Source organism: Homo sapiens, chromosome 1, assembly GCF_000001405.40.
Source record: "Homo sapiens chromosome 1, GRCh38.p14 Primary Assembly".
Classification (NCBI taxonomy): domain Eukaryota; kingdom Metazoa; phylum Chordata; class Mammalia; order Primates; family Hominidae; genus Homo; species Homo sapiens.
Window position 1 is genome coordinate 119563586 of NC_000001.11, and position 17406 is coordinate 119580991.

At 43.9% G+C, this 17406-nt stretch overlaps 1 pseudogene across 1 annotated transcript; it reads left to right on the forward strand.

The window, feature by feature from the left end:
* Positions 1–294: 294 nt before the first annotated feature.
* HSD3BP4 (hydroxy-delta-5-steroid dehydrogenase, 3 beta, pseudogene 4) lies at positions 295–8991 on the forward strand (annotated as a pseudogene). The gene has a single exon (NR_033781.1). The product of NR_033781.1 is annotated as a hydroxy-delta-5-steroid dehydrogenase, 3 beta, pseudogene 4 (transcript).
* The last annotated feature ends 8415 nt before the right edge of the window (positions 8992–17406 follow it).

Sequence of the window (17406 nt, forward strand, 5' to 3'; positions counted from 1 at the left end):
TAAACCTAAGACCCTTTACCACACTACAGCCTTACAATTGGACTTCTCTTCCTGTTCCTGGGAAGAATTAGAGATATACATTAAAGGTCACTTTTCTTCTGAGAAAAGGCATACTGGAAGAGACAGGAGCAATGAGTATGTGGCAGGAGTTCAAAGTGATAAGGGGAAAGCCAGGAGCCACAGAACATAGAACTCCAGGGCTACCTTAGGGGATGAAGTGACCAGCACTCTGACTCTTCTATCCAGCTTTTTAATAATCTAACAGTTGGAGTTTCTTTATTTTCTTTTAGCTACTTCTGGCAATGGTGAAGACATGGAATTTTTGCCAAAAAAAATGGGGTGGAGGAAAATAAAGCATTTGTGTGAGTATATAACCATTTGATCTCGTTTTCAGCCCTCTCCAGGGTCAATCTAGAATCAGATCTGCTCCCCAGCATCTTCTGTTTCCTGGCGAGTGTTTCCTGCAATATTGGATTGGCAATGACAGGCTGGAGCTGCCTTGTGACAGGAGCAGGAGGGTTTCTGGGTTAGAGGATCATCCGCCTCTTGGTGGAGGAGAAGGAGCTGAAGGAGATCAGGGCCTTGGACAAGGCCTTCAGACCAAAGCTGAGGGAGGAATTTTCTGGTAAGTAAACTTGATTCATGGATGTGTGGCTCCATTTTAAACCCTGCATGGGTGCAGGAAGGTGAACCTTTTCTAGCAAGTTACAGAAAGTTGTAGTCAAATCTAAGCCAATCCCACATTCACAATCATCATAAAAAGAATATTAAATAGTATAAATGGCATCATGTGAAAGACACTGGACGGGGTGTCCAGAGACTGGATTCTGGCCCTGACCCAGAACTTGAGAGGCAGCCACTTTGGACACCAGACCCCTTTACTTCTCATCTAGAAAATCCCACATCAGTTATTTTTCTTGTCTACAACGTTTTTATGTTCTGAAGCTTTTTGTCTTGGCAATTGCTTTGCAACATTTATAAAGGACACCATTTACCTGGAGACCTCACCAGTGGGTCCCTGCCTTTCTAGACTGCCCTGAGCTTTTTGTTTTGTAGCAACCTTGGCATCTTTAGTGAAGGCAAAATAAAAGGAAGTGAATGTATAGGAGAGTGTGTAAGTGTGTGTGTGTGCCAGAAAGCGAAACAGAGAGAGAAAATGAGGGGGGAGAGAAAATCAGAGAGAATGAGAAAGACAGAGAATGCATGAGAAAGAGTGAGAGAGAAAGAGAGCATCAGTGATAGAGAGAGCCCGTGCACAGGCACACAGCACAGAACAGAGATGGCAAGAGGCAGTATGAGGCCAGATATGCCTCATTTCGATTTTTCATATATGGCTTTATTTTTTAACCATTTGTCTCTGTTGCTCAATAGCCAAGAAATTGCAGAATTCGGTGTAGCAGATCCTTGTGCAAATAACCCCATGAGGAAGGTAGAAAAGGGGTTGCATCCAACTGAACAATGAACCATCAAAGTCCAGAAACATAAAGCAACTTGCCGAGACCATCTAATTAATGTGTAGCACAGCTCAGACCAGAGCTTCCTCCAGAGGCTTCCTCACTTGACTCTGGAGCTGATGCTTGGCAAAGTGGGTCTTCAGTCTCTCCCTTTGCCTCCCTGGGTGCCCAATTCCCTGTCCTCCTCCCCAACCCAGGGTACTGTGTGTCTACATGTGGGCTCTGGCTGTGTAGAGAGTCATGACCTGCCCTCAGAGAAGCCTCTACTTGATAGCACTCAGGGACCACACCCAACACACTGTTCCTCTTTTGCTCTTCTCTGACCTCTTCCGATTTCCTCCACCCTCTGTTTTAATGGTGTCTTTCATAAACAAATATTAACACAAAACAAGATTAAATGTTTGTAATCCTTATGTGTCACCAGTATTTACAATCTAACACGTAATACCAGAAAAAAGCAATTCTCAGCCTAGAGGAATTGTTCCTTATGGTGAAAAGGCAGGGAATATAATGGATAGGCAGTGGCCTGTATGAAGATAAAAACAAAGAATCCTTTCAGTGTTCTTTCTGTGCCAGGCACTGTGCTACATGTTTTGCATGTGCTGACTCATTTGTTACTCATAGCAACCCTATGAGATTGTTAATATTATTATCCTCCTTTCTTACAGATCAGGAGACAGACACAGAGAGGTTAATTAACTCACCGAAGGTCCCAGAGTTAGAATATTGCAAAGCTGGATTTGAACCCAGACAGTCTAGTGCAGCATCTGTGCTCTTAAGCAGTAGTTAGTCTAGCAGCTTGAGGAAGGAGGGAACTATGGCTCCACCACAAAGTCCCTTTTCCTGGTCTCTCTAGATCCCTGTGAACTCATTGAGGAAAAGCCTTTTCTCTTGGCTTTAGACTTCTTCTGCTTTGAAATGGCAATTCCTTTCTGCCAGCCTGTCTGAAGTTGGCAGCAAAGGGGAAGCAGAGGAAGGGAGCAGGAAGTGCAGAGGTGGAAATACAACCAGAGAAAATTCCACTCTCAGGCTGTTACCCGCATCCTCCCCAGCAGCCTCTTCCCTGCCTCCCCAAACTGCAGGGCCTCCTTGGAGGTGCCTGGCAATAGGAAGGGGCTGGGAGTAGACAAAACATGGCAAAGGCATTAGGAGAGTAAATGGTCCTGTCTGAACCCCTGGAAGGAATTGCTCCGGTCTTGAATTTTTCGCTCTGAATTTTACTCTCACTGTTCTTTGGCCTTTGTTGCCAATTTCAGTTGACCTGGTTTATTCTTACTCTTTCTCAGAAAAGTTTATTCTAAACAGCTAGGCCTGTACCCGGTGTACAGAGTACAACACTTAGAGGTGGGGTGGGCAAGTTTGAGTCTCCACTAGAAACGTGACCTTAGATCTGTCCCTTAACCTCTCTGATCCTCAGTTTCCTCACAATAAAGTGGGACTCAGAAAACCTGTCTCATGAGATTGTTGTAAAATGAAATAAGCAAGCTGTGAGTCATATGCAGATTATAAAGCACAAACAAGTGTAGAGTATTTATCCAAGCTCCAGGTACCACGGTTTTCATTGCGTGGGCTAATTCCAGGTGACAACTTTACTGTCCGCGTAATGTCTTGTGGATTTCAGAGGAGCGTGAAGACATTAAAGTTGTAACCACTGCCCTTGGCTAGACAGCTGGAATATCAGTTCATTGGTCACTAACTTTCAGCATTGCTATCTGCTTTTGATATCTGATAAGAGTTTTTCATGGACATTCCTCATTTATGCCCATCCACAGTTCCCTAGTAATGGCTCCACTCTCCTCCCAATTTCCCAAGCAGGAAACCATAGGGGTGATTTTGTCTTCTTTTTCTCTCAGCCCAGATCCAATAGGTACCAGGACCTTCAAGGTAAGGTCTGAAATTCAAACCTGTTTTATCTCTCCCCTGCTCTGCTTCCACTGCTGGACCCTGCTTCCAGTCCTCATCGAAACTTTGGCACAGATACTCTGATTAATATCTTAATTACCTTACTTTCTCATATCCCCTATACCAGTCCATTTTATATCCTCAAGCCAATGTTGACTTCCTACTTCACAATTCTGCTTCTGTTTCTCTCTCTCTTTTTTTTTTTTTTTTTTTTGAAACAAGGTTTGGCTATGCCACCAAGGCTGGCATGCAAAGGCATGATCTCTGCTCACTGCCACCTTCACCTCCTGGGCCCCATTCATCCTCCTGCTTCAGCCTTCCAAGCAGCCAGGACTATGGGCATGCACCAATACGCCTGGCTAATTTTTGTATTTTTAGTAGAGATGGGGTTTCATGAGGTTGTCCAGGCTGATCTTGACCTCCTGGGTGCAAGCAATCTGCCCACCTCAGCCTCCCAAAATGATGGAATTACAGGTGTGAGCCACCATGCTCTGCCTGTTTCTCTACTTATTCCAAATATAAATAAGGGGTTTCTCTGATATGGTGCTGGAGACCCAAAATCATGATCCCGCATCACCAGCAGAATTAAATTCAAATTTTCCCTCTTATACCCAACTCTCCACAATCACTCTACTCCTTTTAAAAATTTTGATGGGCTTTCCATGACCCTAGCAGTGCTTATATTCCAAGCACACCTGACAGCTCATTGCTCAGATTACATTTCTGAAATGAGATGGGGTAGAAACAGATGTTTGCTCTTTCCCAATAAATTGCTACACATTCTGACTTCTGTGTCTCTGTTTATTTGTTCCTTCCATGGAATGTACACCCTCCACTCCAACACCCTGACTCTAGCCATCCTCAAACACCTATGCAACAACATCTTTATCAGGAAACTTCCAAGCCAGTTTCAGAAACCATTCCGATAACCTGTCCCGTGTTCACACAGAGCTCCAGAACAAGACCAAGCTGACAGTGCTGGAAGGAGACATTCTGGATGAGCCATTCCTGAAGAGAGCCTGCCAGGACATGTCGGTCATCATCCACACTGCCTCTATCATATATGTCATCGGTGTCACTCACAGAGTCCATCATGAATGTCAATGTGAAAGGTACAGTAGCCTGGGGAGGAGATGAAGCAAGGTGGGGAATTAAGGATCACAAAGAAGGACAGGAAGGGAAAAGAAGTCTCTCCACTGAACACCTGCTATGCTCTGGACCAAGTGTCTTTGCTGATCACTACCAACTGGGGGAGTTCAAAGCTGCTATCTTCAGTTTTTTACATGAGGAAACCAGTGCTACAGATGGCAAGTAACTTGTCCAAGGCCCCCCAGGTAAGTAAGTAAGTAGGAGAATTAGACTTTAAACTCACCCCTGTGTGACTCCAAAGGCTGTGGACACTCTATTGTGGCTCCAGTCAAAAGTCAACTAAACTCCAACTTCAGACTCTTGATATTCAGCCACTCTTTGCCTCTATGGGACAGAATCAAACCTTCCAGGTGCCACCATAGTCATCATTTTAAACCTTGTGTGTAGGCTTATAATAATGAAATGGGAAAAATTCCCTCACCCCCCTCACCAAGCATGCAATGGGGGTGTGGCTTGCTTCTTCAGTGCCTCACTGCTGAAACCTCTATGGGAGCATACAGGCAGGCAGGCTGTGGGACTCCGACACCATGGCAGTGTCTGGGGTGAATTGTACAGCTCCTGAAGCCCCAGTGGGTGTGTGTTACATGGTGCTCTTTTAGTCTTGCTCTTTTAGTTTTGACATCTATAGGCGGCTTGTTTTAACCAGCTAAATTAGACCCTCTACCTTGTTGGAAGGTCAGAGGGCTTTCTGTATCCTGGGTTCTTGCTTTGGTTACCGGAAGAATTGGATCACACCTGGGCTTGGAGAATGAGTACAAGGTTATTTTGAGTGGAGGTAGCTCTCAGCAGCTGGGGGATGCCAGAAGGGGAGGGTTTTCCCCTGGAGTCGGTTGCTCAATGACCCAACTCTTCTCCAACCACCCCAGACAAACTCCACATCATTTTGCCCATGGGTATGTTCCTCCCAAAGTCCAGCTGCCCGTGTATTCCTTTGCTGATGTGTTCCTCTGCTGATGTGTGCCTCCACTGATGTGCCCTTCCTGACATCCAGCCCCTTCTGTCTTCTTCTGCCAATCTGCTCCTCTCAATGTCCAGCAGCTTGTGCATGTGCCTGCTAGGGTATTGGGGGGTTTTATAGGCAGAGAATGGGAGCATGGCAGGCCAGGGTGGTCTTGGGAAATGCAACATTTGGGCAGAAAATGCTTGTCCTCATCTAGGTCCCTGAGGGTGCAGCCCTAGCCAGAAACCACACCCTCCTTCACCCAGCACTTCCCTTCCCCGCTCTCATATCATTTAAAGGGACCACACTCTTCCCTTCCCAGCACTCCCATATCAAGAACATTCAAAGCCCTCCTGCCCACCTCAAAGAAGTTCTCTTGAGAGAACTAGCAAAGCTGGTTCTCAGAGGTCTGTCAGGACAGAATTATCCAGCACATGCTTTCTCACAATATTTTCTTAACAAAAAGAGTTTCCCAGTATGCAGAATATGATCTCTTCAGCTCACCAAAGGGCCTGCTATTACAGAACCATTTCAAACTAGGTGCCCAAAGTGCACCTTCATTCAATCCTCGTCCCTTAAAAGCTTGGTGGTCTTTCCGAATTGCAGCTTCCCAAACTACTTTAAATTCAGACACATTCCCTTAAGGAATCTCGTCATGCAGTCTCACCCTCTGATTCCCAGAGTCCAGTCTCTTCAGCACCATAGCACCCAACCACAGGCCTGGCCCTCCACATTCAGTCTACTCTGATGCCTTTTCTCATGCAACTAATTGCTTTTGAGTCTCCAGTACCAAAAAAAAAAGAGAAGAAAGAAAGAAAGAAAGAAAGAAAGAAAGAAAGAAAGAAAGAAAGAAAGAAAGAAGAAAGAGAAAGAAAGGAAAGAAGGAAGGAAGGAAAGAAGGAAGGAAGGAAGGAAGAAAGAAAGAAAGAAAGAGAGGAAGGAAGGAAACAGAAAGAAAAAAACCTTTCCAGTTTCTACTCGCTCATTTCTTTCAGTACCCCTACAGTGCAAGGAGGGTGTTAAGAGTAACCAGTTTTTCATTTGAATTGTTAACTCTCCGCAGCTCCCAACAACAAGAAATGTGAAATGACAGGGGAAGTGTTAGAGGCATCTGTTTCCTAACCATTATCACTCCAAGGCTTAGAAAATATTTCACAATGTTGGTCATTTCCCCCTTGAAGGTAAACTACTTCCGCATTTTCTCTGCCACCAGATTAATTGTTGAAAACATGAGGCTGTCTCTCCAGAAACTCAAATTCCACAGAGACTTTAAACAGGGCCAAGAATAAAAAAATAAGAAAAAATAATAATCCTTTGCCTAGGAAATTCCTTCCTTCTTCAAGGGAAGGCACTCCGAACACCTCCATGAGCTTCGCTTCCACACAGCTCAGGGGAGGCGGCAAGGTCCTCCCAGTACAGGTGTTACCAGCAGAGGGCACACTCCTCTCCCCAGTCCTCCACCAGGCTCCACAGGAAACGCCAGGGCAGGGTTTAAAGGAAGGTTTATCACCCCGACTTTACATAACCAGGTAAACAGAGTCACAGCCAGAATTGGAAGCAGCTTTCCCAGGGAATGCACAATCAGGAAAAGAGTGTGGGTTTCCAGCATCTCCCCACAAGCCACTGTTCGCTCAATGACTCCAGGAATGGTCCTGGTGACAAAGTTTTACCAGTCCACTCAAAATGAGAAAAATACCAGCAATTATATGTATATTTAAGAGTACATTTCAGAGTGTATATTGCTTATATACAATTGTGTATGGGTGTGTGTGTGACATAAATTCTTCCAGTGCCCTTTTCTGCCTAAGGACTGGGACTGTCCATATTCTCAGAGTATATCTTCCTGATTTGTTAGTTTTTCAATAATCTGCCATTAATGGTATTGATGTCACATTGTAATTTTTCAACATCATTACTTGACAGAATATAAAGTGATAATTCTAGGTCCTTTGCCAAAATTACAGTATATACACACACACACACAGACACACACATCCATATACCCAAAAGTCTAGAAATTCTTGCTCCCCAGAACCCACATGTCAGTTTCTTTTCATTTTGGTGTTTTTCCTATGGCTGTAGCATGGCCCAGTCTCAGTCAGAGTCACATAAGAATATACCCCGAGTCTGTTATAACCACTGCACTTGGGAATAAATATCTATGCACGTTGTTGGGGCCCCTTAGTTATATTTCCTGACACTGACAGAATGCTTTTCGTAGGTAGGTACCCAGCTTCTGTTGGAGGCCTGTGTCCAAGCTACAGTGCCAATCTTCATCTACACCAGTACCCTAGAGGTAGCCAGGCCCAATTCCTACAAGGAAATCATTCAGAACGGTCATGAAGAAGAGCCTCTGGAAAACACATGGTACGCTCCATACCCACACAGCAAAAAGCTTGCTGAGAAGGCTGTGCTGGCGGCTAATGGGCTGACTCTGAAAAACGGTGGCACCTTGTACACTTGTGCCGTAAGACCAATGTTTATCTATGGGGAAGGAAGCCCAATCCTTTCTGCCGGTATAAATGAGGCCCTAAACAACCATGGAATCCTGTCAAGTTTCAGCAAGTTCTCCAGAGTCAACCCAGTCTATGTTGGCAACATAGCCTGGGCCCACATTCTGGCCTTGAGGGCCCTGCGGGAGCCCAAGAAGGCCCCAAGTGTCCGAGGACAGTTCTACTATATCTCAGATGACACGCCTCACCAAAGCTATGATAACCTTAGTTACACCTTGAGCAAAGAGTTCGGCCTCTGCCTTGATTCCAGTTGGAGCCTGCCTTTATCCCTGACGTACTGGATTGGCTTCCTGCTGGAAATAGTGAGCTTCCTGCCGAGGCCAGTTTACACCTGTCGACCGCCCTTCAACCACCACAGAGTGACATTGTCAAATAGCGTGTTCACCTTCTCTTACAAGAAGGCTCAGCAAGATCTGGCATATAAGTCACTTTACAGCTGGGAGGAAGCCAAGCAGAAAACCATGGAGTGGGTTGGTTCCCTTGTGGACTGGCACAAGGAGACCCTGAAGTCCAAGACTCAGTGATCGAAGGATGACAGAGATGTGCATGTGGGTATTGTTAGGAGATGTCGTCAAGCTCCATCCTCCTGGCTTCATACAGGTGACAAGGGCAAAAGTCCAGGTCCTGCTGCCTCCCTTTCACATAATAGCCAACTTATTGTCTTCCTCATGTCATCAAAACCTGCCCAGTCCCTGGCCCAACCAGAAGCTTTTTGTCCTAATCATATACCAGAGGAAAGACAATGTGATTTGCTTTTTCCATATCTCAGTGGCTGATTCCGAACAATTGTAGTCTCTTCTAACTTGAGGTCATTTTTAACTACTAGAGCTCCATTTCTACTCTTAAATGAGAAAGGATTTCTTTTCTTTTAAATCTCCTATTTCTTCACGCAGTCCAATGTAAAGAGCAATAAATGTTTTAATCCTTAACCTGGAGGGAGGTGTAGTTTCTGTTAATACCTAGTTCCCTCCTTTTCTTTTCATTTCCAGGTATCACCATCTTTTACCTAGGAGAGTAGCATGGAGCTGGGGAAGGGGGGTTGGCAGAGTAGTGGGAGGATCTGGAAGGGCGATGAAGACTGAATAAGCTCTACTATGTTTCAGGCATCTACAACATGACCTACATGTGACATATATTCCCTCACTCAATACTTATCAGAAACCTATCACGTGGGGGTGACTATTCCCATTTTACCCTTAAGGAAACTTGTTCACCATCACACTAATGATTAGTGGCTAGGCCTGCTACCAGGAAGTTGGTCTTGAAAGACTTTATCTTTCCCTAGAATCATGCAGCCTGAACTGGTCTTATCAGTGGTACAGCAGAGCACTGGAGCATGGGATGCTGATACTTGGGAGAGCCCCAGCTTTTTGGGGTTACCTCTTTCTTGCCCAATCTGGTACAGGGGAATCTCTAGAACCAAGGATAATCCCTGAGGGGCATCTGAAAGGGTTTGCATGCCTTTCCTAATGGGCCTGAGCAGGGCAGAGAGAAACAAAAATGCATCAGGCCTCCACCCGCTTCAGTGTCAATTTATTTGAAGGTCTCTAGAACACTCCTGGCTATATGTGTGTTGGCCATTCTGATCATACATAACCCTGCATTTCACCCTTTCAAATCACACAATGAGCCACACCATGGGTTCCTGGACAAGTACAAAAAACAAGTGTGAACTTCCTCCAAAATATACCTTCTACTCAGCCCAAAATTAGAAGTCTACTATCCCACATCCCCAGATTTAACTGTCTCTCTCTTCTTTCTCCTTCTCTTCTCTAAATCATATCCTTTCTTCCTTTATTCTTCCATATCCTTAGCCTCTTTCTTCTCTCCATCTCCTCTTTAATCACTGGTTCTCTCATTCTTCTCAATTTCCCTGAAGAGAGGAGGCCAATCAAGACAAGTTTGGGGACTTCAGTGATGACATAGTCATTAACCAATCAATGAAAACACACTCAAAAGAAACACTGTCAGGGGCATCAGGGACAGAGTTGAACTGAAGCAGGTGAGGAGGTTGCTATGGGTCCAGAGTGTGGGGTGGAAGCTGTCTCCCTCTGGACCTTTGTGTATCACAGCCATGATGAGAGTCACACCCAACATCAAGATGGCTTTTTTCTTACACAGGAAATTAACAGATCATTACTCAGTTGAATTTGATTACCACAATGGAGTTAGTTTCAGTGTTCATTCTGAAGAGAAAAGGGAACCACATTCTGGCCCAGATGAACAGGTTACCACCATCTTCAAAAGCCCAAGGAACAGATGATCATCACCAGCGTCAGGGGGGAGTGGCCCCAGGCAGTGGGGTAAGGTGAAAAATGCAACACCCAGTGGTCACTTCCAAGATGGCCGAATAGGAACAGCTCCGATCTGCAGCTCTCAGAGAGATTGATGCCGAAGATGGGTGATTTCTGCATTTCCAACTGAGGTACCTGGTTCATCTCATTGGGACTGGTTGGACTGTGGGTGCAGCCCACAGAGGGCGAGCTGAAGCAGAGTGGGGCATTGCCTCATCCAGGAAGCACAAGGGGTTGGGGGATTTCCCTTTCCTGCCAAGGGAAGCTGTGACAGGCTTGCCTGGAGAAAAGGTACACTCCTGACCAAATACTGTGCTTTTTCCACAGTCTTAGCAACCAGCAGACCAGGAGATAACCTCCTTTGCCTGGCTCAGTGGGTCCCACGCCCAGGGAGCCTTGCTCACTGCTACTGCAGCAGTCTGAGATAGACTGGCAATGCTGTAGCTTGATGGGGGGGAGGGGCGTCTGCCATTGCTGAGGCTTGAGTAGCTCACAGTGTAAAGAAAGAGGCTGGGAAGCATGAACTAGGTGGAACCCACTGCAGCTTAGCAAGGCCTACTGCCTCTATAGCTTCCACCTCTGAGGGAAGGACACAGTAGAACAAAAGGCAGCAGACAGCTTCTGCAGACTTAAATGTCCCTGTCTGACAGCTCTGAAGAGAGCAGTGGTTCTCTCAGCACGGCATTCCAGATCCGAGAACAGACAGACTGCCTCTTCTAGCAGGTCCATGACCCCCATGTAGCCTGACTGGAAAACACCTCCCAGTAGGGGCTGACAGACACCTTAAACAGGTGGGTGCCCCTCTGGGACAAAGCTTCCAGAAGAAGGATCAGGTGGCAATACTTGCTGCTCTGCAGCCTCCACTATTGATACCCAGCCAAACAGGGTCTGGAGTGGATATCCAGCAAACTCCAACAGACCTGCAGCTGAGGGGTCTGACTGTTAGAAGGAAAACTAACAAACAGAAAGGAAGAGCATCAACATCAAAAAAAAGGACGTCCACACCAAAACCCCATCCATAGGTCACAGTCATCAACATCAAAGACCAAAGGTAGATAAAATCACAAAGATGGGGAGAAACCAGAGCAGAAAAGCTGAAAATTCCAAAAAAGAGTGCCTCTTCTCCTCCAAAGGATCGCAGCTCCTCACCAGCAAGGGAACAAAACTGGACGGAGAATGACTTTGAGGAGTTGACAGAAGCAGGCGTCAGACCTTCGGTAATAACAAACTTCTCCGCGCTAAAGGAGCATGTTCTAACCCATTGCAAGGAAGCTAAAAGCCTTGAAAAAAGGTTAGACGAATTGCTAACTAGAATAAACAGTGTAGAGAAGACATTAAATGACCTGATGGAGCTCAAAACCACAGCACGAGAACTTTGTGACACATGCATAAGATTCAACAGCTGATTCAATCAAGTGGAAGAAAGGGTATCAGTGATTGAAGATCAAACTAATGAAATAAAGTGAGAAGACAAGATTAGAGAAAAAAGAGTGAAAAGAAATGAACGAAGCCTCCAAGAAATATGGCACTATATGCAAAGACCAAATCTACATTTGTTTGGTGCACCTGAAAGTGACAGGGAGAATGGAACCAAGTTAGAAAACACTCTTGAGGATATTATTCAGGAGAACTTCCCCAACCTAGCAAGGCGGGAAAACATTCAAATTCAGGAAATACAGAGAACACCACAAAGATACTCCTCGAGAAGGGCAACCCCAAGACACATAATTGCCAGATTCACCAAGGTTGAAATGAAGGAAAAAATGTTAAGGGCAGCCAGAGAGAAAGGTTCAGTTACCCACAAAGGGAAGACCATCAGACTAACAGCGGATCTCTCGGCAGAAAACCTGCAGGCCAGAAGAGAGTGGGGGCCAATATTCGACATTCTTAAAGAAAAGAATTTTCAACCCAGAAACTCATATTCAGCCAAACTAAGCTTCATAAGTGAAGGAGAAATAAAATCCTTTAGAGACAAACAAATGCTGAGAGATTTTGTCACCACCAGGCCTGCCTTACAAGGCTCCTGAAGGAAGCACTAAACATGGAAAGGAACAACCACTGCAAAACCAGCCACGGCAAAAACATGCCAAATGGTAAAGACCATCGACGCTATGAAGAAACTGCATCAATTAATGGGCAAAATAATCAGCTAACATCATAATGACAGGATCAAATTCAAACATAATAATAACCTTAAATGTAAATGGCCTAAATGCCCCAATTAAAAGACACAGACTGGCAAATTGGATAAAGAATCAAGACCCATCAGTGTGCTGTATTCAGGATACCCATCTCACGTGCAAAGACACACACAGGCTCAAAATAAAGGGATGGAGGAAGATCTACCAAGCAAATAGTAAGCAAAAAAAAAGCAGGGAATGCAATCTCCTAGTCTCTGATAAAACAGACTTTAAACCAACAAAAATCAAAAAAGACAAAGAAGGCCACTACATAATGGTAAGGGATCAGTTCGCCAAGAAGAGCTAACTATCTTAAATAAATATGCACCTAATACAGGAGCACCCAGATTCATAAAGCAAGTCCTTAGAGACCTACAAAACAGACTTAGATTCCCACACAATAATAATGGGACATTTTAATACCCCACTGTCAATATTAGACAGATCAGTGAGACAGAAGATTAACAAGGATATCCAGGACTTGAACTCAGCTCTGCACCAAGCAGACCTAATAGACATCTACAGAACTCTACACTCCAAATCAGCAGAATATACATTCTTCTCAGCACCACATCACACTTATTCTAAAATTGACCACATAATTGGAAGTAAAACACTCCTCAGCAAATGTAAAAGAACAGAAATCACAACAAACTGTCTCTCAGACCACAGTGCAAACAAATTAGAACTCAGGATTAAGAAACTCACTCAAAACTGCACAACTACATGGAAACTGAACAACCTGCTCCTGAATGACTACTGGGTAAATAACGAAATGAAGGCAGAAATAAAAATCTTCTTTGAAACCAATGAAAACAAAGACACAATGTACCAGAATCTCTGGGACACATTTAAAACAGTGTGTAGAGGGAAATTTATAGCACTAAATGCCCACAAGAGAAAGCAGGAAATATCTTAAGTCGACACCCTAACATCACAATTAAAAGAACTAGAGAAGCAAGAGCAAACAAATTCAAAAGCTAGCAGAAGACAAGAAATAACTAAGATCAGAGCAGAACTGAAGAAGATAGAGACACAAAAAAACTTTCAAAAAAATCAATGAAGGCCGGGCGCGGTGGCTCATGCCTGTAATCCCAGCACTTTGGGAGGCCGAGGCAGGCGGAACACGAGGTCAGGAGATTGAGACCATCCCGGCTAAAACGGTGAAACCCCGTCTCTACTAAAAATACAAAAAATTAGCCGGGCGTAGTGGCGGGCGCCTGTAGTCCCAGCTACTTGGGAGGCTGAGGCAGGAGAATGGCGTGAACCCGGGAGGCGGAGCTTGCAGTGAGCCGAGATCCCGCCACTGCACTCCAGCCTGGGCGACAGAGCGAGACTCCGTCTCAAAAAAAAAAAAAAAAAAAAAAAATCAATGAATCCAAGAGCTGTTTTTTTGAAAAGATCAACAAAAAAGATAGACTACTAGGAAAACTAATAAAAAAGAAAAGAGAGAAGAATCAAATAGATGCAATAAAAAATGATAAAGGGGATATCACCACCGATCCCACAGAAATACAAACTACCATCAGAGAATATTATAAACACTTCTATGCAAATAAACTAGAAAATCTAGAAGAAATGGATAAATTCCTAGACACATACATCTTCCCAAGACTAAACCAGGAAGAAGTTGAATCTCTGAATAGACCAATAACAGGTTCTGAAATTGAGGCAATAATTAATAGGCTAGCAACCAAAAAAAGTCCAGGACCAGATGGATTCACAGCCGAATTCTACTAGAGGTACAGAGGAGCTGGTACCATTCCTTCTGAAACTATTTCAATCAAAAGAAAAAGAGGGAACCCTCCCTAACTCATTTTATGAGGCTAGCATCATCCTGATACCAAAGCCTGGTAGAGACACAACAAAAAAATAGAATTTTAGGCCAATATCCCTGATGAACATCAATGTGAAAATCCTCAGTAAAATACTGGCAAACCGAATGCAGCAGCACATTAAAAAGCTTACCCACCATGATCAAGTAGGCTTCATCCCTGGGATGCAAGGCTGGTTCAACATACACAAATCAATATTCGTAATCCATCACATAAACAGAACCAACAACAAAAACCACATGATTATCTCAATAGATGCAGAAAAGGCCTGTGACAAAATTCAACAGCCCTTCATGCTAAAAACTCTCAATAAACTAGGTATTGATGGAACATATCTCAAAATAATAAGAGCTATTTCTGACAAACCTGCAGCCAATATCGTACTGAATGGGCCAAAACTGGAAGCATTCCCTTTGAAAACTGGCACAAGACAAAGATGCCCTCCCTCACCACTCCTATTCAACACAGTTTTGGAAGTTCTGGCTAGGGCAATCAGGCAAGAGAAAGAAATAAAGGGTATTCAATTAAGAAAAGAGGAACTCAAATTGTTTCTGTTTGCAGACAATGTAATTGTATATTTAGAAAACCCCATCCTCTCAGCCCAAAATCTCCTTAAGCTGATAAGCAACTTCAGCAAAGTCTCAGGATACAAAATCAATGTGCAAAAATCACAAGCATTCCTATACATCAATAACAGACAAACAGAGAGCCAAATCATGAGTGAACTCCCATTCACAATTGCTTCAAAGAGAATAAAATACCTAGGAATTCAACTTACAAGGGATGTGAAGGGCCTCTTCAAGGAAAACTACAAACCACTGCTCAACAAAATAAAAGAGGGCACAAACAAATGGAAGAATGTTCCATGCTCATGGATAGGAAAAATCAATATCATGAAAATGGCTATACTGCCCAAGGTAATTTATAGATTCAATACTATCCCCATCAAACTACCACTGACTTTCTTCAAAGAATTGGGAAAAAAATACTTTAAATTTCATATGGAACCAAAAAAGAGCCCACATAGCCAAGACAATCCTAAGCAAAAAGAACAAAGCTGGAGGCATCACGCTATCTGACTTCAAACTATACTATAAGGCTACAGTAACCAAAACAGCATGGTACTTGTACCAAAACAGACATGCAGACCAATGGAACAGAACAGAGACCTCAGAAATAACACCACACATCTACAACCATCTGATCTTTGACAAACCGGACAAAAACAAGCAATGGGGAAAGGATTCCCTATTTAACAAATGGTGCTGGGAAAACTGGCTAGCCATATGTAGAAAGCTGAAACTGGATCCTTTCCTTACACCATGTACGAAAAATAACTGAAGATGGATTAAATACTTAAATGTAAGACCTAACACCATAAAAACCCTAGAAGAAAACCTAGGCAATACCATTCAGGACATAGGCATGGGCAAAGACTTCATGACTAAAACACTAAAAGCAATGCAGCAAAAGCCAAAATTGACAAATGAGATCTAATTAAACTAAAGAGCTTCTGCACAGCAAAAGAAACTATCATCAGAGTGAACAGGCAAACTACAGAATGGGAGAAAATCTTTGCAATCTACCCATCTGACAAAGGACTAATATCCAGAGTCGACAAAGAACTTAAACAAATTTACAAGAAAACAACAAATCACCTCATGTAAAAGTAGACAAAGGATATGAACAGATACATCTCAAAAGAAGACATTTATGCAGCCAACAGACATATGAAAAAATGCTCATCATCACTGGTCATCAGAGAAATGCAAATCCAAACCACAATGAGATACCACTCATGCCAGTTAGAATGGCAATCATTAAAAAGTCAGGAAACAACAGATGCTGGAGAGGATGTGGAGAAATAGGAATGCTTTTACACTGTTGGTGGGAGTGTAAATTAGTTCAACCATTGTGGAAGACAGTGTGGCAACTCCTCAAGGATCTAGAACTAGAAATATCATTTGACCTGGCAATCCCATTACTGGGTATACACCCAAACGATTATAAATCATGCTACTATAAAGACACATGCACATGTATGTTTATTAAGGCACTATTCACAATAGCAAAGACTTGGAACCAACCCAAATGTCCGTCAATGATAGACTGGATTAAGAAAATGTGGCACATATACACCATGGAACACTATGCAGCCATAAAAAAGGATGAGTTCATGTTTTTTTGCAGGGACATGGATGAAGGTGGAAACCAACATTTTAAGCAAACTATCACAAGGACAGAAAACCAAACACTACATGTTCTCACTCATAGGTGGGAATTGAAGAACGAGAACACAGGGACACAGGGCAGGGAATATCACACACCGGGGCCTGTTGGGGGTGAGGGTCTGGGGGACAGATAGCATTAGGAGAAATACCTAATGTAAATGACAAGTTGATGGGTGCAGCAAACCAATGTGGCACATGTATACCTATGTATCAAACCTGCATGTTGTGCACATGTACCCTAGCACTTAAAGTATAATAAAAAATTAACAAATTAAAAAAAAGAAAAAAGAAAAATGCAACACCCCTCCTTCCCCAGCCACTGCACAAAATGCAAGAGCCAGCATCGCTCCAGCTCTTGTAAGGCAAACGCAACATCCATATGTTAATGCCAAATACCATAGGAACCAAAGGAAGGTGGTGGAATCAGAGACAAGACGCCTTCCCCTGGTTTTTCAGCCTGGTGAAACCCTACGCTTACGAAACCACCAGGGCAGTTTTCACAGGCAAAGGAAGGAAGAGGACATATCTCCAACAGGCAGTGAGGGGTGATCAGCGAAAGAGGCGAGGAGGCCTGATCAGTCAGCCATCTCACTAAAGAGGTACAAAGGCCTCAGAGTGTTACGGCCAACAAAATGTGCCATTCCTTCTTACAACTGAGGGTGCCAGGCAGAGCTCCTGCACCAAGCCCTGATGCACCTCACAGGATGCACCATACGGGGGCGGAAAGGCTTGGAGGGAAAAACAAGGAAGCCTAACCTGGAAGGTACTTTTGGGTCCTTTTTCTCCACCTGGGTGGCTCTGCAGGGTACCTGACAAAGGAATGAATGAAAGCAAAGGCAAGTGCTCAGCCACCGGCTTAAGGGCTAGGTATATATGAGTACAGAGAATGAAGCTGAGCTGAAGTCACT